The sequence below is a fragment of the Homo sapiens genome, chromosome 7 (genome assembly GCF_000001405.40).
Source record: "Homo sapiens chromosome 7, GRCh38.p14 Primary Assembly".
NCBI classification, from domain to species: domain Eukaryota; kingdom Metazoa; phylum Chordata; class Mammalia; order Primates; family Hominidae; genus Homo; species Homo sapiens.
Window position 1 is genome coordinate 99,374,111 of NC_000007.14, and position 19,499 is coordinate 99,393,609.

Consider the following 19,499-nt stretch of genomic DNA (forward strand, 5'->3'; position numbering starts at 1 on the left):
CTGGCCGGCCAGCGTCAGCAGGGGCGGCCAGTGTCACCCTGCCCGGGGACAGCACCCCTGTTTCGTGGCGAGGACACGGAGGGCCAAGGGGGCGGGGCCGGGCTGCCCTGGCCACGCCCGGACCGCCTGCTCCCCGCCCAGGGCCTGCACAGTTGGCGCCCACCGGCATCAGCGTGAAGGGAGCTCCTCGCTGGCTGCCGACGGGGCTGCAGGGCTCGCTAGCCGCTCACCTGCGTGTGAGCGCGGAGCCCGCAGTACCCGCCGTCCGGGCTCAGAGGACGTGACTCCCCGACCCTGCGCCCGGCAGTCCCCGGGGGCCGTGCGCCCGGCCCAGGCTCGGAGGTCCAGCCCAGCGGCGGCTCAGGCTGCGCGCCTGGCTCCCAGCCTCAGTTTCCCCATTGGTAAAGCATTGACGGTGGTTGCGGACGGCTTCTGCGGACAGAGCCTTGGGCTCCGACGTCTGCGCGGGTACCGGCAGCACCCCCACCCCGAAGGGAGGGCGGGACCTGGATCTCGCGACCGCTGCCCCAGGTCCCCGCCCCCGGGCCCTACCGGGCTGAGGTCGGCAGGCCCCGCCCCCCGCCCACGAGGAAGTGGCTGCTGCTCCGGCGCGGAGCCCAGAGCCGGTTCGGCGCGTCGACTGCCCAGAGTCCGCGGCCGGGGCGCGGGAGGTGAGGGCCGTGGGGGCGCCCGGAGGTGGGGGTCAGGGGAGCCACCTGGAGGTGGGGGGGCGCGTAGATGTGGGGCGCCGCCTGGGAGTGAGCGGGACTGGAGGGATGAGAGGGGGTGCAAGGAGGGGACCGGGGGGCGCCTGGAAGTGAGGACGCATAGATGTGGGGCGCCGCCCAATAGGGGCACGGGGATGAGTGGGGGCACATGGAGAGGAGGGGGCGCGGGGACGAGGGGCTCACGGAAAGGAGAGGGAGCCCTGGGATTGGAGGGGGCGCGGGGGTGGCCGCAGGGCCAGACTGTGGAAACGCGGGCTCCCAGCGCACCGGGCGCCCTCGGGGCGTCCCCAGCCCCCGGCCCCAAGCTTCCGCCTCGTGCCTTCCGCCCCTGCTCCCCGGCCCCCATCCCCAGCCTTGCCCCGCGGTCGGTCGGTGTAGCCCCGTTACTTCGGGCCGGCGGGGCCCCACACCCAGTCACTTCCCCTCCATCCCCGGAGCCTTCCGGGTTGCAGCCGCCGGGAAATGAGCTGGCGTCTCCTGCCGCCCCGCCCCTGCCCTCCTGGCCGCTCCCGCTGCTCCCACCCGCCTCCCCCGGGCCAGGTCCGAGGGGTCCCGTACGGGGCGGGCCTGGCTGGCGGGGTCCCGGAACGCACCCCCTCAGCTGCAGGGCTCCGCGGCCAGGGCAGATCCGAGCAGCCCCTCCCTTTCCGGAGGCGCTGGGAGAGCAGCCAGGCCGCCTAGGGCGGGGCGGGGCCGGGCTGCACCCGCGGGCAGTGAAGGGATCAGGAGTGCAAGCCTGGGGAGTCAGACCTCCCCCTGCCTCCTCTGCCAATGCAGCCCGGAGGCTACCACCACCCATCCCGGCCGGGCGCGGTGGCTCACACATAGAATCCTAGCATTTTGAGAGGCCCAGGCGGGAGGATCGCTTGAGGCCAGGAGTTGGAGGCCAGCATGGACAGCATTGCGAGACCCTTTCTCTATTAAAATAAATAAATAAAATGTAGCCAGGCGCTGTGGCTCATGCCTGTAATCCCAACACTTTGGGAGTCGAGGTGGACGGATCACTTGAGGTCAGGAGTTCGAGACTAGCCTGACCGACATGGTGAAACCCTGTCTCTACTAAAAATACAAAAATTACCCAGGCATGGTGGCACGCACCTGTAATCCCAGCTACTCAGGAGGCTGAGGCAGGAGAATTGCTTGAACCCGGGAGGCAGAGGTTGCAGTGAGCCGAGATCACGCCATTGCACTCCAGCCTGGGCAACAGAGCAAGACTCCGTCTCAAAAAAAAAAAAAAAAGCCACGTAACATGCCTGTAATCCCAGCTACTTAGGAGGATGAGGCAAGAGAATTGCTTGAACCTGCCTTGGCAGTGAGCCAAGACTGTACCACTGCACTGCAGCCTTGGCAACAGAGCCAGACTCCGTCTCTAAATAAATAAATAAAATCTTAGGGACCTAGGTAGGAGTGCCAGCTTCTCCCTTCACTGGCCAGTGACTGGTAAGCCACCCAACTCCTGCCAGCCTCAACTTTCCTTATCTGGAAAATGGGAACCTTAAAGACTGGGAGGCTGAAATGCAATACTGCAAGACACCTGGCAGCGTGTCAGGCGCTGACAGTATAAACGTGCGTTTGTTGCTCACCTTGATCATAGTGTTCCCCCAGGTGAACCTAACTTCCTGGCCTCCAAGATTTGGGGTCAGAGTCCCAAGCTGCGTCATTTAGTAGAAGCCGAGTGACTTTGAACAAATCGTTGCTTTTGTCTGAGCCTGGGTTTCCTCCTGTACAAACTGAAGGTAAAAAGCAAACAGGCTGGGCGCGGTGGCTCACGCCTGTAATTCCAGCACTTTGGGAGGCCGAGGCAGGCAGATTACCTGAGGTCGGGAGTTCGAGACCAGCCTGACCAACGTGGTGAAACCCCGTCACTACTAAAAATACAAAATTAGCCAGGTGTGGTGGTGGGCACCTGTAATCCCAGCTACTCAGGAGGCTGAGGCAGGAGAATCGCTAGAACCTGGGAGGCGGAGGTTGCGGTGAGCCAAGATCATGCCGTTGCACTCCAGCCTGGGGTTACAAAGCGAGACTCTGTCTCCAAAAAAAAAAAAAAAAGCAAACAAAAAATGTCTCAGGCTTGCTTCAGGGGGAGAATGGTGAAAGGTCTGGGTAAAATCGCCCTGATAGATGCCGGTAAAGTTTGTTTCTTACATATGTCTGTACATAATCCATTGATAGGTCTTTTTCTTTTTTTCTGGAGTCCGGGTCTCATTGTGTTGCCCAGGCTATAGTGCCATGGCTTGATCATAACTCACTTTAGCCCCAAACTCCTGGGCTCAAGGGATCCTCCTGAGTAGCTGGGATTACAGGTATGTTCCTCCATGCCCAGCTAATTTTTAAATGTTTAGTAGAGGTAGGGTTTTGCTGTGTTGTCCAGGCTGGCCTCAAACTCCTGGCCTTAAGCGATCCTCCTGCCTTGGCCTCCCAAAGTGCTGGGGTTACAGGCATGAGCCTCCACGCCTGCCTTATACGTGCTTTCTTTTTTTTTTTTTTTTTTTGAGACAGTGTCTTGTTCTGTTGCCCAGGCTGGAGTGTGGTGACACTACCTTGACTCACTGCAGCATCTGCCTCCCGGGTTCCAGTGATTCTCCTGCCTCAGCCTCTCAGGTAGCTGGGATTACAGGTACATGCCAATATGCCCGGCTAATTTTTATATTTTTAGTAGAGACGGGGTTTCACCATGTTGGCCAGGCTGGTCTCGAACTGCTGACCTCAGGTGATCCGCCCACCTCGGCTTCCCAAAGTGCTAGGATTACAGGCGTGAGCCACCGCGCCCAGCTTCTTCTTCTTCTTCTTCTTCTTTTTTTTTTTTATTTGGAGGTGGCGGAGTTTCACTCTGTCGCCCAGGCTGCAGTGCAGTGGCACAATCTCAGCTAACTGCAACCTCTTCCTCTCGAGTTCAAGTGATTCTCTTGCCTCGACCCCCCGAGCAGCTGGGATTACAAGTGCCCACCACCAAGCCCAGATAAATTTTGTATTTTTAGTAGAGAGGGTTTTACCATGTTGGGCAGGCTGGTCTCAAACTCCTGACCTCAGGTGATCCACCTGCCTCCGCCTCCCAAAGTCTGGGATTACAGGTGTGAGCCACCGCACCCGTCGGTTGATAGGTCTTTTCTAATATTAATAATTACGTAGCATCTCAACATGTTAATGTCATAATTTACTCTTTCCATATTGTCACCTGGGTTTTTCCACACTGTCACCATTATAAAGACAGCTATTATAAACATGTTTGCTTTATTTTTTAGATGAGGTTTCACTCTGTCACCCAGGCTGGAGTACAGTGACGAGATCTCGGCTCACTGCAACCTCCACCTTCCCAGCTCAAGGAATCCTCCAGCCTCAGCCCCTCAGATAGCCAGGACTACAGGCGTACAGCATCACATCCCGCTAATTTTTTTTTTTTTTTTGGTAGTTTTTATAGACACAGGGTTTTGCCATGTTGCCCAGGCTGGTCTCCGAACTCCTGGACTCAAGTGATCCACCTGGCTTGGCCTCCCAAAATGGTGGGATTACAGGCGTGAGCCATGGCACCCCACCTGTTTGCTTTTAAAAAAGAAAAATGGGGCCAGGCGTGGTGGCTCACACCTGTAATCCCAGCACTTTGGGAGGCCGAGGCGGGTGGATCACAAGGTCAGGAGTTCGAGACCAGCCTGTCCAACATGGTGAAACCCCATCTCTACTAAAAACAAAAACAAAAATTAGCTGGGCGTGGTGGTGGGCACCTGTAGTTCCACCTACTGGGGAGGCTGAGACAGGAGAATTGCTTGAACCTGGGAGGCGGAGGTTGCAGTGAGCCGAGAATGCACCACTACACTCCAGCCTGGGCGACAGAATGAGACTACATCTCAAAAATAAAAAAGAAAAAGAAAGAAAAATGTGTTGCTGTTTTCTTAGGACCAAATGGGTGTATGTGACCAAAGAATGTTAATTTTCTTTTTCTTTTTTTTTTTTTTTTTTTTGAGATGGAGTCTTGCTCTGTCCTCCAGGCTGGAGTGCAGTGGCGCAATCTCGGCTCACTGCAAGCTCCGCCTTCCGGGTTCACGCCATTCTCTTGCCTCAGCCTCCCGAGTAGCTGGGACTACAGGCGCCCGCCACCACGCCCGGCTTAATTTTTTGTATTTTTAGTAGAGACGGGGTTTCACCGTTTTAGCCAGGATGGTCTCGATCTCCTGACCTCGTGATCCACCCACCTCGGCCTCCCAAAGTGCTGGGAGTATAGGCGTGAGCCACCACACCTGGCCAGAATGCTAATTTTCAAGTTCCTGTTAGTGTTATTCTGTTCTATTAATATTTGGTCCCACCCACTTGTTGAATTGAGTGCCCTTCAGAAGAATTAAACCAATTAGCAACAAATGACAATTTCTCCACAGCTCTGCTAGCATTGAATTTTGTGTGTTTTTGTTTTGTTTGGATGACTAACCGGTGCTTTAATGGTACCTTACGATTGTTTTCATGTGTGTTTCTTGACTTCACTCTGCGTGGTTGGTAAGACTTCAAGAGCAGAGCTGGAGAGGGAAGGATAGGGGTAGGAAGGGCTCTGACCCAGCATAGGAAGTTGAGTAACCGCTTAGCACGGTGCAAATTAGCCTGCTGGCTGCTCTATCCAAGAACTGCCTGAGCTGGGTGGGGACTTCCCAGAGCGCCTGTAATGCTGAGATCTTTCCTCCAGGCAACTCCTCCTTGGTTTAGCCTCTGATACAGCCAAACCTCTGGATTCAGGGAAACCTAAGGAAGCCAGGCAAGAAGGGTCCCGCAGCCTGTGCCTAGTCTAGCCCCAGCCTCATCTGGATTAAGATGGGAGGGAAATATTGGCTGAGGGCACCCAGCCAGTATGAAGACAGCTAGAATGTAAACCCAGCACAGTAAGGGAGAGAGTATCAAGGCCCAGGACTTTAGAGTGCCTCACCACCACCACCCCGCCGCTGGGCAGCCTGAGGCTTTCTTTGCCTGGCACCACCATGCCTGGCTAATTTTTTTTTTTTTTTTCCAAGTGGAGACGGGGTTTTGCCATGTTGGCCAGGATGGTCTCAAACTCCTGACCTCAAGTGATCCACCCACCTCGGCCTCCGAAAGTGCTGGGATTACAGGCGTGAGCCACTGTGCCCGGCTATCCCCTCCTCTCTCTGGTTTCTTAACATCAAACAGGCCCACAGTGCTGGCTCACAGGGCCACAGTGATAGTGGGTTGGTGTCCTGGATCCCTCCCCCAGGAGCCATCACTGAGACCTTATGCTGTCAACACTGGTGGGTGAAGCAGCCCTCGTATTTTTCTCCTGAGACATCCAGAGCAGGGTAATTGGCAGGCGGGGGTGAGCACACGCTGGCTCACGCAGGCTTGGTAGGTGAGAGGTTTTCCTGAGGATGATGAAGTTGGAGTGTCCCCGGCTAGAATCCCTGAGGCAGGAGACTGGAGCCCTGTGGCAGCATTGGCTGAGAGAAGCCACTCCCTTTTTGCTCTCCCACTTCCTCACTGGTAAGATGTGGGGGTTGGGGAGTTATCGCAGAGGCGCTTTGGGTTTCAGCTGCTTTGCAGAAGTTATGGAAAAAGGGAAATGAGTCTTCCTGTCTCTCGCCCCCTTAACACTTCTTTGCCCCATTTAAGGGGTTTGTTCAACAGACTAGGAAGTATTTCTGCTAATTCATGCTGAAGTGTGATTGGCTGATAGGTGTGGTCTCAACCTCCCTCCTCTGCCAGTCACTAGTGTACCACTGTGGCCATCTTTTCCAGCCCCTCCTCTGCCCCTTGAGTATGTCTAGGTCCTAGAAACAGTGGTCAGGGCTCTTCAAGTCCTCTCGGTTGCCCTTGCCCACTGGCACACGTGGGGGTTGCTGTCTTCAGCAGAGCCAGCCACTCCGTCTTGACAGCCAGGGCAGAGATGTGGCTGGGCACACAGCAAGAATGTGACCACTGATGCTGGGATGTCAGAGTCTGTGCATCAACCCAGGGTTCTGAGTCTGGGCTCTCCCACCCTCATCCCCGGAGGTTCCTTCAGTCTGGGCCTCCTGGGGCTGAAAGGGAGGGAAAAATTGGCCTCAGCTGGAGTCCTGGGGCCAACCAGAGCCTGGGTGGAGTGTGAAAGTGGGCTTCTGGCCTTCACCCTGCCCCTGCCCTGCTGGTGACCTTGGACCATGGGGGTTGTCGGGGTGTAGATGAGCACCGTGAATCAGTCACAGGCCTTGAGCTTCTCTCTGCACAGTGCTGGCATCAGATGTGGGTGGTGATGTCCCAGCCTGGGAACACAGGAAACGCTCAGGGAAACCCCCATCAGACCTGCTGACATGGCTGAGGGCGCTGAGATGGTGCTTCCGGGGCCCTCACCTTACACAAAGAGGCCTTATAAGGAGAGAGAGGCTGCAGAGGCAGCCCCAGTGGGTGCCGGGTGCTTGTTCTGGGTAAGGCTGCCCACACGTGCAAAGTGTGCTTGTGGACACAGTGCGCTTGCGTGTGTGCAAGGCTGAACATACATGTGTGCAGGCCTGCAGTGTGCCTGTGTGTGAGGCTCAACACGTGCATGTGGGGAGTATGGTCATGTGTGCAAGGCTAAACATGTGCTTAAAGTGTGGGGAGGTGCAGTGTGCATGTGTGTGTGCAAGGCTTAACATGCAAAGTGTGCTTGTGTGTGTGAGGCTGAACACGCATGTGTTTGTGTGCGTGGCCTGACCCTGCGCTGCGTGTGTCTACTTGCTCAGCAAATGCTGACTGGGGACCCACCGGGGTCCTGTTCTAAGCATGGAGGAAACATGAGGTCCCTGCCCCGTGCATGTACACATGTGCATGTGTGTGTGTCCTGTGCTGCTCCAGGAATCTTCCAGGACATCCTGATACAAGTGAAAGCAAGCGGTTTGGATCTGGAGTGAGCAGGAGGTGGACAGGGCCTTCCAGGCAGTGAGCGCAGGGGGCTTTGTGTTGTGACCTCGGGCAGGCTGGTCACTGAGCCCTGTGGGGCCAAACTGCAGCCCCAGGCAAAGGTCGTTCTGCCTTTCCCTTGTGCCTGGGCCCAGATGCAGTGCAGGATGGGCCGGCCCCTGGGCAGGGCAGTGACGGGGCAGCCACCGGCCTCCTGGGGCATTCAGGGTTCCCAGTCCTGGTTGGCTCCCAGCCCAGGCCCTGAGACCCAACACAAAACTGCCAGTCTGGTGAGGGAGGCAGCCACATTATCTAATGGCTGTCACTGGTGACTCTGGGCAGGTGGCCTCAGCCCCCACATCTGTCATCTGGAGCTGACCTGGAGCCTGGCATCCCTCCCCAAGTGCAGCCAGGCCTCCCTGAAAGTCCAGGGCTGGTGGGAGTGTTGAAGTCAAGAATGTATACAGAGCACCTGGCCAGGCGCGGTGGCTCATGCCTGTAATTCCAGCACTTTAGGAGGCCGAGGCGGGCGGATCACTTGAGGTCAGGAGTTCAAGACCAGCCTGGCCAACATGGTGAAACCCTGTCTCTACTAAAAATATAAAAATTAGGCATGGTGGTGCGCACCTGTAATCCCAGCTACTCAGGAGGCGGAGGTTGGAGTGAGCCAAGACTGCGACATTGCACTCCAGGCTGGGCAACAGAGTGAGACTTCATCTCGAAAAAAAAAAAAAAAAAGGATACTTTTTTTTCTAGAGCTGGCAAGGAGGGAGTATCCAGAAAGTGCTGGATGGTACTAGTTAATACATTTTATTTTAGAGACAGGGTCTGGCTCTGTCACACAGTGGTACAATCATAGCTCACTGCAGCCTCAAACTCCTAGGCTAAGCAATCCTCCTGCCTCAGCTTCCTGAATACCTAAGAATACAGATGTGCACCACCACACCTGCAAATTTTTTTATTTAAATTTTTTGTAGAGATAGGGTCTCACTGTATCGCCCATGCTTGTCTTGAACTTCTGGCCTGAAGCAATCCTCCTGCCTAGGCCTCCCAAAGTACTGGGGTTACAGGCATGAGCCACTGCGCCTGGCCCTATTTAATAAAATTATTTATTTATTTATTATTTTTAAGTTATTTTTTCACACACATTCATTCCTAACCTTTTTTTTTTTTTTTTTTTTGAGACAGAGTCTTGCTCTGTTGCCCAGGCTGGAGTGCAGTGGTGTGATTTTGGCTCACTGCGACCTCTGCCTCTCAGGTTCAACAGATTCTCCTGCTTCAGCCTCCCAAGTAGCTGGGACTACAGGTGTGCGCCACCACGCCCAGCTAATTTTTGTATTTTTAGTAGAGACAGTCTTTCACCATGTTGGCCAGGCTGGTCTTGAACTCCTGACCTCAGGTGATCCGCCCGCCTCGGCCTCCCAAAGTGCTGGGATTACAGGCATGAGCCACCGTGCCTGGCCTCATTCCTAACCTATGTAATGATAATATTTTTGAGGGCTGGGTAGGGTGGCGTGAGCCTGTAGTCCCAGCTACTTGGGAAGCAGAGGCAGGAGGATCACTTGAGCCTGGGAAGTCGAGGCTGCAGTGAGCTGTGATCACACCACTGCACTCCAGCCTGGGCAACAGAGCGAGACCCTTTCTCAAATATACACACACACACACGTTTCTGAGAACGTACTCTGTTGGTCACTAATGGCAATGAAAAATTTGTTCAGCGGATATTTCTTGAGCACCTACTATGTGCTAAGCATTTAAGCAGTGGAAATAGAAACGAGAACAAGATAGAACAAAAATGTGTCTCTGCCAAGCTGGTTCTATTCCAGCAGGGGAGGAAGGCAGCGGGCCAGATCAGTGAGTGCATGTCTGATGGTGACTGCTGAGAAAATTTAATCGGAAATAGGGAATTACGAAGTGCCGGACCGTGGAAGGTGCTGCAGTTTCCAGGGAAGGCCTCCCCAAAAGTTGACATTTGAGTACAGACTTGAGTGGCAGCACCAGAGCGAGAGCCGTGTGTGCCGGTATCTGGGGGAAGAGTGTCACAGGCCTAGGGAACAGCCAGCACGGAAGCCCGAGGCAGGTGCATGCCTGTGTGCCCCAGGATTGGCCTCTGGTTGGCTGGGGAGGCCTGCTCCTCAAAGGGCTGGTATATCACATCCATCACAGGCTAAGAGTAACCGCCTCGTGGTTCCTCCTCATAGAGGCCAGGTGCGGTGTGTCATCTGCTTCCAGCTCTCAGCATCTCTGCTGGGAGGCAGGATTCCTGTTCCCATTTTACAGATGAGAAAACTGAGGTTAAAAGAAGGCAGGTGATGTGTCCCGGGGCATGTGGCTGGGCAAGCAGTGCCACTGGGCTCCTCCACTTCCAGGTCCCTGTGATGCTGGGAAACTGAGTCACGGAGGCGGGGAGAGATGTGTTTGAGGAATTGGGCTGAGACCGTGATCTCACCCCCGTCAGGCCTGGTGGGCTCCTTTGACACTCAGCGGCAGGTGGAGGAGGCTAGGGACAGGCTGGCAGGGGCTGAGCTGGGCTGACGGGAGGATGAGTCGCTGCCCTCTGCCAGGGTTCCCCTTCAGTGCTGGGGCTAGTCTAGAGGGCTGCAGTCAAACATCTCCCTCGTTCTGGCCGAGTGTAGTGGCTCACACCTGTAATCCCAAATACTTGGCAGGTGAGGAGGGAAGATCTCTTGAGCCTAGGAGCTTGAGACCAGCCTGGACAGCATTGTGAGACCCCCCTCTCTACAAACAAATCAAAAATTAGTTGGGCACAGTGGCACATGCTTGTAATCCCAGGAGTTCATGGCTGCAGTGAGCCATGATCACACCACTGCACTCCATCCTGGGCCACAGAGAGAGACCCTGTCTCAAGAAACAAAAATCTCCCTCCTTCAGTTCCCCAAGGCTGGGTCACCCTGGGGCCTCCCCAAGAGCCATCACCCAGGCCTCGCCTAGCCCTGTGCCTCCTCCCAGCCCTGGGTGCAGCCAGTGGATGTCTGGATGGAGAATGGGATGTATCTGTTAAATATCTGCCTTTGCCTCAGCCATGAGCCCCTGCAGACCGGCCACCTCCCTTCTCCCCGTCTGAGCAGTGTGGGGGAAGACCAGGGCTCTGGGCACGGCAGGGCCAACTGCCATGTGCTGGACACCTTTCTAGGTGGTTTATGAGATTACTTCATTTCTTTTTTTTTTTTTTTTTTCTGAGATGAGTCTTGCTCTGTCACCCAGCCTCCTGAGTAGTGGGGATTACAGGCAGGTGCCACCACACCTGGCTAATTTTTTTTTTTTTTTTTTTTTTTTTTTTTGAGACGGAGTCTCACTCTGTCGCCCAGGCTGGAGTGCAGTGGTGCGATCTCGGCTTACTGCAAGCCCCGCCTCCCAAGTTCACGCCATTCTCCTGCCTCAGGCTGGGACTACAGGTGCCCGCCACCACACCCGACTAATTTTTTGTAGTTTTAGTAAAGACGGAGTTTCACCATGTTGGCCAGGCTGGTCTTGAACTCCTGGCCGCAAGTGATCCGCCTGCCTCGATCTCCCAAAGTGTTGGGATTACAGGCATGAGCCACCGGGCCTGGCCTGGATGACTTCATCTTCATCCCATCCTTAATGGGGCAGGGGAAGTTGGGTGGGGGGGGGGGGGTCGTCCATCCTATGAGGAAACCGAGGCACAGATGACAAGTGAGGGGCCTGTCCAGCTTGGAGTCCTAGCACCCCACCCCGCCCCAGGGAGCATCTCCCCTGTAGTACCGTCTCCTCCACCCTGTCCCTGGAGCCTCAGAGACATCCTGTGAAAGCTGCCCTTTTATAAGGAGGGAAACTGAGGCCCCAGGAGGGGAAGCAACATGTCAGGCCAGTTGGGAGCCAGGGCTGGCCCCTGCTGCTCCTCTCTGCAAACTGCTGCCCCTCTAAACTGAGGGGCCTCCCTGGTGTGAGGCCTGTGAGGATCATCTGGGGCCTGGTATGGGTGAAGTCAGGGGCAAGGTTGGGGCTGACGTGGATTCTCTCTTCCTCTCTCGGGCACAGGAGCCAAGCCGCCATGGCCTACCACAGCTTCCTGGTGGAGCCCATCAGCTGCCACGCCTGGAACAAGGACCGCACCCGTGAGTGCTTGCTGGGGGCCGGTGGGTGGCTGCTTCCACCTCCTGGGATGGGGACCAGCCAGAGCACACATGGGGACTCTGGAGCAGCCAGGCCCCCGGACCATGGGCTCCATGTGGCTGTCCCCTGGCCTCACCCCTGGGTCTTCCAGCTGACCAGGGGCCTCCTGGGTTAAAGTTTAAGGAGGGAATGGGCCAGTTGCGGTAGCTCATGCCTGTAATCCCGGCACTTTGGGAGGCTGAGGTGGGTGGATCACTTGAGGTCAGGAGTTCCAGACCAGCTTGGGCAACATGGTGAAACCCTGTCTCTACTAAAAATACAAAAATTACCTGGGCGTGGTGGTGGGTGTCTGTAATCCCAGCTACTCGGGGGGCTGAGGCACGAGAATTGCTTGAACCCAGGAGGCGGAGGTTGCAGTGAGTCGAGATTGCACCACTGCACTCCAGCCTGGGCAACAAAGCGAGACTCTGTCTCAAAAAAAAAAAAAGAGAGAAAGAAAGAAAGAAAAAGTGACCAAGAAAAAGCCTTTCGGAGGAGATGACATTTTGACATTTACCCAGAGACCCAGAGGGGGAGAGGAAGGGAACTGTGCCCCAGCTGGGGAGGGGCTGGCAGGTGCAGGGGCCCTGAGGTGTCAGCAGGAGCAGCGAAGGGTTCCTGGTTGGCCAGAGCAATAGGGTGGGGAGAGGTCCCAGGGTTCATTGCTGCGAGTAAAGGACAGCCAGTTCCAGGAGAAGACAGGGTGGCCTAGCAGGGCCTGAAGGACTTCAGGGGGCCCCTGCAAGGCAGAAGAGGAGAGACTGAGTCATGAAAGGTGAGGTGTTGTTGCCTAGGTGCACTGTGTAGTGTGTCCTGGCAGAGGGCAGTCATGGAGAGGGCCCCTCAATCTCCCTCCATCTCCCCTTCAGAGATTGCCATCTGCCCCAACAACCATGAGGTGCATATCTATGAAAAGAGCGGTGCCAAATGGACCAAGGTGCACGAGCTCAAGGAGCACAACGGGCAGGTGACAGGTATGTCAGGGTGGCTGGGACCACCGTCCTGAAAGGAGGTGGTGGGTTGGGGGGGTGGTGCAAGGCAGGGCATGGCCACTCATTGTGGAGCATCTGCCCACTCACCGTGAAACCCGGATTCAAACTGGCTTCAATTTTAAGGGGACTGTGTTGGCTCATGTTACCAAAAACTCACAGGGTTGAGGGCTTCAGGAGAGGCTTGATCCAGCAGCTCCACATGACCAAGAACCCATCTTTTCTGCCTCTTGGCTTTGCCCTCCAGCATGTTTGCTGATAGCATGGAGGGCTCTGACACTCCCTCATAAGCTCTAGGAGTGCCCCCTGGTGTCACTCTAAATAAGCACTGGATCTCAGTAAAAAGTGCTTGCTGGGCCGGGTGCAGTGGCTCATGCCTGTAATCCCAGCACTTCAGGAGGCCAAGGCGAGTGGATCGCTTGAGGTCAGGAGTTCGAGACCATCCTGGCCAACATGACTAAATGTTGAAAAATACAGAAATTAGCCGGGTGTGGTGGCACGCACCTGTAGTCCCAGATACTCTGGAGGCTGAGGCAGAAGAATCGCTTGAACCCAGGAGGCGGAGGTTGAAGTGAGCTGAGATTGCACCACTGCACTCCAGCCTGGATGGCAGAGCGAGACTGTGTCGCAATAAAAACAAAGAAAGAAAGAGGCCGGGTGCGGTGGCTTGCGCCTGTACTCCCAGCACTTTGGGAGGCGGAGGCGGGCGGATCACCTGAGGTCAGGAGTTCAAGACCAGCCTGGTCAACATGGTGAAACCTCATCTCTACTAAAATACAAAAATTAGCCAGGCATGATGGCGGGTGCCTGTAATCCCAGCTACTTGGGAGGCTGATATGTGAGAATTGCTTGAACCCGGAAGATGGTGGTTCCAGTGAGCTGAGATCGTGCCAGTGCACTCCAGCTTGGGCGGCTGAGCGAGACTCTGTCTCAAAAAAAAAAAAAAAAAAAAAAGATTGGTGGTACACACCTGTAGTCCCGGCTACTCAGGAGGCTGAGGCACGAGGATTGCTTGAACCTGGGAGGCAGAGGCTGCAGTGAGCTGAGATCATGCCACTGCACTCCAGCCTGGGTGACAGAGCGAGACTCTGTTTCAAAAAAAAAAAAAAGTGCCTGCTGGGCAGATACAGCTTCCACCTGGATGGTGGCCTTTCAGCCTCTCCCATGTGGCCACCATACAGCCACCTCTGCCTGAGTGTCATCAGCCTCCTGTGTTCCCTCCATCCCCCCACAGGCATCGACTGGGCCCCCGAGAGTAACCGTATTGTGACCTGCGGCACAGACCGCAACGCCTACGTGTGGACGCTGAAGGGCCGCACATGGAAGCCCACGCTGGTCATCCTGCGGATCAACCGGGCTGCCCGCTGCGTGCGCTGGGCCCCCAACGAGAACAAGTTTGCTGTGGGCAGCGGCTCTCGTGTGATCTCCATCTGTTATTTCGAGCAGGAGAATGACTGGTGGGTACCTAGGCAGGGCCAGAGTGGGCTGTTAGGGACCGGGGGCAGGACTAGAGTGTCCCCGGGAAGCACCAAATGGGATGTCAGGACCCCTGTTCCCATCACCCTGGGGGAGTCCATCCTCTCCTCTCTGGGCCTCATTCATGAGGCAAGGGCCTCTCTGCAGCGTCCGGATGTTCTCACTGCCAGTGACACCCACCACACCAGAAACACATCTGGGGGCACCTCACTAAGCCCTGCACACACATTAGTCCTGACTTCCCTGCAGCTCCGTGGACTGGGCATCGGTCACTGTCCCCACTTTACAGATTAGCAAAGGCCCTGTAGCAGTCACTTTCTCAAGGCACCACTCACGAGCTCGCAGCCACATCTTGTTCCTTTTTTTTTTTTCAGATGGAGTCTCACTCTGTCACCCAGGCTGGAGTGCAGTGGCACGATCTTGGCTCACGGCAGCCTCTGCCTGCCGGGTTCGAGCAGTTCTCTGCCTCAGCCTCCCAAGTAGCTGGGATTACAGGCACCTGCTACCATGCCCGGATAATTTTTATATTTTTAGTAGAGATGGGGTTTCACCATCTTGGCCAGGTTGGTCTAGAACTTCTGACCTCATGATCCACCCGCCTCGGCCTCCCAAAGTGTTGGGATTACAGGCGTGAGCCACCGTGCCCAGCCAATTTTTTTTTTTTTTTTTTTTTTGAGACACAGTCTTGCTCTGTCGTCCAGGCTGGAGTGCAGTGGCACAATCTCAGCTCACCGCAACCTCTGCCTCCCAGGTTCAAGCAATTCTCCTGCCTCAGCCTACTGAGTAGCTGGGACTACAGGCACGCACCACCACGCCAGGCTAATTTTGTATTTTTTAGTAGAGATGGGGTTTCTCCATGTTGGTCAGGCTGGTCTTGAACTCCTGACCTCAGGTGGTCCTCCTGCCTCCGCCTCCCAAAGTGCTGGGATTACAGGCGTGAACCACTGCGCCCGGCCATATATATATTTTTGAGACAAGGTCTTGCTCTGTCGCTCAGGCTGGAGTGCAGTGTTGTGATCATAGCTCACTGCAGCCTCAGCCTCCTGAGCTCAAGTAATCCTACCACTTCAGCCTCCTGAGTAGCTCGGACTACAGGCCCAAATCATTTATTTATTTATTTTGTAGAGATAGGGTCTTGTCACGTTGTCCAGGCTGGTCTTGAACTCCTGGCCTCAAGCAATCTTCCCACCTCAGCCTCCCAAAGTGCTGAGACTACAGGTGTGAGCCATGATTGCCAGTCCACGTCTTAGTTTTTAATCTCCCCTGCATGGCTGAGGGCAGAGGCCAGCCAGGAGCATCTGAGAGACCCAAATTTGCATCCCACCATGGCCAGTTAGTAGTTGTGTGACCTCTGGTGATGGCATCACTTTGCTGAGCCTGCTCTGAGGGTGACTGTGTGGCCTAAAGGATAGAGGGCACAGAGTTCCCACTCCAGAAGCGACACAGCACATCCCTGCCGCCCCAGGGCCCTGACGGCCTTGTGGGCTGGCAATGCCCAGTCGCCTCTCTCCTGGGTCTTTGGTGGGCTGCAGGGAGCAGTGGGAGCCTGGAGTCCCTGGTGCTGAGGTCCATGAGTCCCACCTGCCTGTCCCTCTCTCCCTGTCTGCCTGACCACCGTTCCCAGGTGGGTTTGCAAGCACATCAAGAAGCCCATCCGCTCCACCGTCCTCAGCCTGGACTGGCACCCCAACAATGTGCTGCTGGCTGCCGGCTCCTGTGACTTCAAGTGTCGGTGAGACAGGGCGCCATGGGGGAGGGCGGGGCTGACGTCAACTGACTGCTGACATCATAGCGGGGAGCCGCACCTGAAAGCTCTACACCCCAGCTTCTAGACACATTCCAGACCTGCTACCAGTGGATGACCTGGGCGTCGGTTGAAGGTTCTAGTTCCTGGGGAACCCTTCATGTCTCAGCTGGATGGGCCTCTGCCCACCTCTTTTATTTTTTTTGAGCTAGGGGCTTGCTCTGTTGCCCGGGCTGGAATGCAGTAGTGCAATCATAGCTCACTGCAGCCTCCAAATCCTGGACTCAAGCGATCCTCTTGCTTCTCAGCCTCCCAAGCAAGACTACCACGCCCAGCTAGACAGGATTTTTTTTTTTTTTTTGGAGACGGACTCTCGCTCTTTCGCCCAGGCTGGAGTGCAGTGGCGTGATATTGACTCACTGCAACCTCCGCCTGCTGAGTTCAAGCGATCAAGCGATTCTCCTGCCTTAGCCTCCTGAGTAGCTGGAACTACAGGCGCATGCCACCATGCCCGGCTAATTTTTGTATTTTTAAATGTAGAGACGGGTTTTCACCATGTTGGCCAGACTGGTCTCGAACCCCTGACTTCAAGTGATGCATCTGCCTCAGCCTCCCAAAGTGCTGGGATTACAAGCTTCAGCCACCATGCCCAGGCACCTGTTAACCCTTTAAAAAAAATTTTTTTTTTTTTTTGAGACAGTCTCACTCTGTTGCCCAAACTGGAGCACAGTAGCGCAATCACAGCTCACTGCAGCCTTGACCTCCTGGGTTCAAGCAATCCTCCCGCCTCAGCCTCCTGAGTAGCTGAGAGTACAGGTGCGCACCACCATGCCTGGCTACTTTACCTCTACTTTGCCTATCCCGGTAGGATCTTTTCAGCCTACATCAAGGAGGTGGAGGAACGGCCGGCACCCACCCCGTGGGGCTCCAAGATGCCCTTTGGGGAACTGATGTTCGAATCCAGCAGTAGCTGCGGCTGGGTACATGGCGTCTGTTTCTCAGCCAGCGGGAGCCGCGTGGCCTGGGTAAGCCACGACAGCACCGTCTGCCTGGCTGATGCCGACAAGAAGATGGCGTGAGTCGAGGCCATCCCCAGGGGAGGAGGTGAGTGCAGAGGAGTGGGACACCGTGACTCACAGCTCTCTCCCCTCAGCGTCGCGACTCTGGCCTCTGAAACACTACCACTGCTGGCGCTGACCTTCATCACAGACAACAGCCTGGTGGCAGCGGTGAGGAATAGGGAGGGGAGGGAGGGTGTGTGGTCACAGCAGGCCTCCGAGAGAGCCCAGCAACTCTCATCTCCTCCCTCCTTTCTCCTGCCTCCCTCCTTTTTTTCTTCCTTGCATTCTCTCATGTACCAGAATTGGGCAGAACAGGTTGGGTTATGCTGCAGTAACCAAAAGTCCCTGGCTGCAGTTGCTTAACAGAGTAAAGATTTGGCCAGGTGCGGTGGCTCACACTTAAAATCCCAGCACTTTGCGAGGTTGAGGTGGAAGTATCACTGGAGGCCACGAGTTTGAGACCAGCCCGGGCAACACAGTGTGAGACCCTTGTCTCTACAAAAAGTTAAGAAATTAGCTGGGTGTGGTGGTGCACCTGTAATCTCATAATCCCAGTTACTTGGGAGGCTGAGGCAGGAGGATAACTTAAGCATGGGAGGTCGAGGCTTCTGAACTGAGCTATGGTCGTACCTCTGCACTTCAGCCTCGGCGACACAAAACCTGTCTCAAAAAAAAAAAAAAAAGAGCCAGGCCCGGTGGCTCACACCTGTAATCCCAGCAATTTGGGAGGCCAAGGAGGGCAGATCACCTGAGGTCAGGGGTTCAAGACCAACCTGGCCAACATGGCAAAACCCCATCTCTACTAAAAATACAAAAATTAGCCGGGTGTGGTGGTGGGCGCCCATGGTCCCAGCTGCTCGGGAGGCTGAGGCAGGAGAATTGCTTGAACCCAGAGGCAGAAGTTGCAGTGAGCCAAGGGTGAGCCACCGAGACTCCATCTCAAAAACAGAAAAAAAAAGATATTTACTTCTTGCTCACATTTTATGTCCAGTGTGGGTGTTGTGAGGTGCTCTGATGGAAGCTGTCCCCAGCATGCTGTCCCAGATGCCACGAGGGAGCCGGAACCTGCGGAATCATGCCCTGGGTCTTAACATTTCTGCCCACATTTTATTGGCAGGTGCAATGGCAAGGCCACGCCTAATGCAAAGGGCGAGAGTTCGGGGTGTGCGGTTCCTCCAGGTGTCCAGGAAGGGCACTGCTCTCCCTCCCCTCCGCCCACATCTGTCAAGTCCCTTTTCACCCCTCTGCAAACATAATGGGGGTGCCAGGGCCAGGTCAGGCTTGCTTTTTGCCTAGAAAAGCAAACAGCTGCAGGGGTCTCCCCTAGAGCAGGTGTAACTGGCTGGGCAGGACAGAAGGCGCCTGAGCTCCCAGGGAGTCCCAACGCTGGCCTTGCTGGGGGAGGTGGCAGCCCCCAGCATCACCCCCGGTTTTGATACACCTGCAATTCGGGCCTCCCTCGCTGTGGCCCGTCTGTATCCTTGAGCTGGCATCTGCCTCCCGGGCGGCCAGACGCCCGCCTGGCCTTCCCTCCGGCCTCGGTTTCCCCTCCGCGGCGCTCCAATGGCCCCCGCCCTCCGCGCAGGGCCACGACTGCTTCCCGGTGCTGTTCACCTATGACGCCGCCGCGGGGATGCTGAGCTTCGGCGGGCGGCTGGACGTTCCTAAGCAGAGCTCGCAGCGTGGCTTGACGGCCCGCGAGCGCTTCCAGAACCTGGACAAGAAGGCGAGCTCCGAGGGTGGCACGGCTGCGGGCGCGGGCCTAGACTCGCTGCACAAGAACAGCGTCAGGTGAGAGCGGGAGCCGGGCCGGCGGGTGGGCGGGGCCTCGGCTCGCCCAGAAACAGCGTCGGGTGAGGAAGGGGCCTGGAGTCTTCCTCCTGGGGCATTGTGCTGGGACCTTGAGGACTGGGGACCCGGAGGGAGGGTAGGCGTGCCCTCAACTCGCTGCGCCGGAACGGCGTCTGATGAGCGGCGGGCCCGGACACGAGGGGACGGGGCCGATTTGTGGGCGGGGCCTTGGCGCCGTACTAAAACCGCGTGGGGCGGAGGCCGGCAGAGGTCGCGTAGCGGGCCCAGGGTAGGGAGTGGCTTTGACTCGCTGCGGAATAACATCGTTAGTTGTGGGCGGGGCCCATCTTGATCTCACCATAGCAGCCCAGGTGCTAGTGGAGCCTGGGAGGGACACGGTGCGACCGACATAAGACGGGGTCGACCTCTTTAGGTTGCATAAAAATAGCATCAGATGGGGCTGAGCAGCTAGCCTCGCTCTGCATTTCCGGGACTTAGGTGGGGACTGTCGTAGGGCTGGCCCCTACGGTTCTCTGGGGTGGCCAGGCAGTGACCAGCGGGCTTCCTGGGCGGGGTCACAGCTGGGGCGGGTCTATTGCTAGCACTTAGCGAGGTGGGGGCGGAGCTGAGGGTCTCTCCGCAGCCTTCTATGGATCTAGGGTGGGATGGGGAAGAGGCTCTTCAAAGCCCAAAAGCTGCCAGCCACACGTGTCCACCCCGCGGCGAATCAGAG

General features: G+C 56.2%; 1 protein-coding gene across 2 annotated transcripts in view, besides 4 other annotated features; it reads left to right on the forward strand.

The window, feature by feature from the left end:
* Positions 1–880: a silencer, noted in NCBI's record as "silent region_18406". NCBI's record gives its function as "represses an Ori minimal core promoter by ATAC-STARR-seq in GM12878 lymphoblastoid cells {active_cell/tissue: GM12878}" and the evidence as "EXISTENCE:reporter gene assay evidence [ECO:0000049][PMID:35858748]".
* Positions 149–19,499, forward strand: part of ARPC1B (actin related protein 2/3 complex subunit 1B) — a 20,558-nt gene continuing 1,207 nt past the window's right edge. Inside the window, exons 1-8 of one of the 2 annotated variants that reach the window (XM_024446628.2) lie at positions 149–468; positions 11,592–11,668; positions 12,575–12,679; positions 13,929–14,151; positions 15,795–15,902; positions 16,783–16,989; positions 17,068–17,143; positions 18,561–18,766. In XM_024446628.2, the coding sequence (XP_024302396.1) occupies positions 11,605–11,668; positions 12,575–12,679; positions 13,929–14,151; positions 15,795–15,902; positions 16,783–16,989; positions 17,068–17,143; positions 18,561–18,766 (989 nt within the window). In that variant the 5' untranslated portion in view covers positions 149–468; positions 11,592–11,604. Of the gene's footprint in view, positions 469–619; positions 672–11,591; positions 11,669–12,574; positions 12,680–13,928; positions 14,152–15,794; positions 15,903–16,782; positions 16,990–17,067; positions 17,144–18,560; positions 18,767–19,499 lie in introns of those variants that run through there. The other variant, NM_005720.4, reaches the window with a different exon arrangement.
* Positions 891–1,530: a silencer, noted in NCBI's record as "silent region_18407". NCBI's record gives its function as "represses an Ori minimal core promoter by ATAC-STARR-seq in GM12878 lymphoblastoid cells {active_cell/tissue: GM12878}" and the evidence as "EXISTENCE:reporter gene assay evidence [ECO:0000049][PMID:35858748]".
* Positions 5,887–6,206: an enhancer, noted in NCBI's record as "active region_26312". NCBI's record gives its function as "activates an Ori minimal core promoter by ATAC-STARR-seq in GM12878 lymphoblastoid cells {active_cell/tissue: GM12878}" and the evidence as "EXISTENCE:reporter gene assay evidence [ECO:0000049][PMID:35858748]".
* Positions 6,807–7,126: an enhancer, noted in NCBI's record as "active region_26313". NCBI's record gives its function as "activates an Ori minimal core promoter by ATAC-STARR-seq in GM12878 lymphoblastoid cells {active_cell/tissue: GM12878}" and the evidence as "EXISTENCE:reporter gene assay evidence [ECO:0000049][PMID:35858748]".